This window comes from Homo sapiens, chromosome 11, assembly GCF_000001405.40.
Source record: "Homo sapiens chromosome 11, GRCh38.p14 Primary Assembly".
NCBI lineage: Eukaryota > Metazoa > Chordata > Mammalia > Primates > Hominidae > Homo > Homo sapiens.
This window is the reverse complement of record NC_000011.10, coordinates 102,880,143-102,881,253: the sequence shown is the minus strand read 5'-3', so window position 1 is coordinate 102,881,253 and position 1,111 is coordinate 102,880,143. Positions and strand designations below refer to the sequence as shown.

General features: G+C 37.9%; 1 pseudogene; it reads right to left on the bottom strand.

Moving 5' to 3' along the window:
* On the bottom strand, positions 216-770 carry BOLA3P1 (bolA family member 3 pseudogene 1; annotated as a pseudogene).

Genomic DNA, 1,111 nt, shown 5'->3' with positions numbered 1-1,111 from the left:
AAAATATACTAATAGTAACAATAGTAAGACTAATATTAATGATAATACAGCACACCTACTATGTAGAAAGTACCATGTTAAGTATCTCTCCTGTGTATGTAGTATGTGTGAATCTCAGTCCAGCTGTGCCAAATATATTGCATTTTCTTCCCTAACATTATTTTTTTATAGTTTTATTTTCATTTTTTTTACATTTTTTTATTTTTTTATTTTTTTGACCCTTCAAAACTTCAGTTGTTTGTTTCCTTTAATTAACATGCAAGTGGATTACACATCTTCCATAATTATAACATGGAAATGTATATGAACAAAATATACACATTTTTTGGTGAATGTCTAGGGAAGAATGGTGTCAGTGAAGTTCATCCAAGGTTTAAAGCAGCAGCATCCATGCAGCAAGGGCATGGTCAGCGTTTGGGGACAGAGGTAAATATCTGTAATCCATGCATCCCTTTGATTTCTTCTTTTAGTGCCTGATTAACCATGTGGTACTGCTGAACAGTTCTCTTCTGCTTAAATTCTTCTGATTCAATTTTAATTTCATTTTAAATTCAATTTAAATTAATTAATTCAATTAAATTTCTATTTAATTTCAACCTCCTGAAATGTCAGTGACTTTGATCACTGTAGCTCAAGGAAACTTTTCTTTGAGAATTTGGGTCACTTTGAGCTCCCTTTCATTCTGGGAGGCAAATATCCTATGGACATAGCGGATCCCGCAGAGCAGAGGTGCTGCCGCGGCTGGGCTTCATGCCACCATGTCTGGCTGATATCTACACTTTTAAATAGAGACAAAGTCTCATTATGTTGCTCAGGCTGGTGTCAAACCCCTGGGCTCAAGCAATCCTCCCTCCTTGGCCTCCCAAAGTGCTGGGATTATAGGCATTAGCCACCAAACCTGGCCAAATTTTATTTTCATTTTTAAAAATAAAGATAGGGTCTCACTTTGTTGCCCAGGCTGGTCTTGAACTTCTGGCCTCAAGCAATCATCCCACCTCTCCCTCCCAAAGTGTTCGGATTACAAGAGTAAGCCACCATGCCCAGCCACTTCCCAAAAATTTAACTTCTATTCTGAGCCTCCATCCCTTTCGGCTGGAAGGAAATTCAGCCG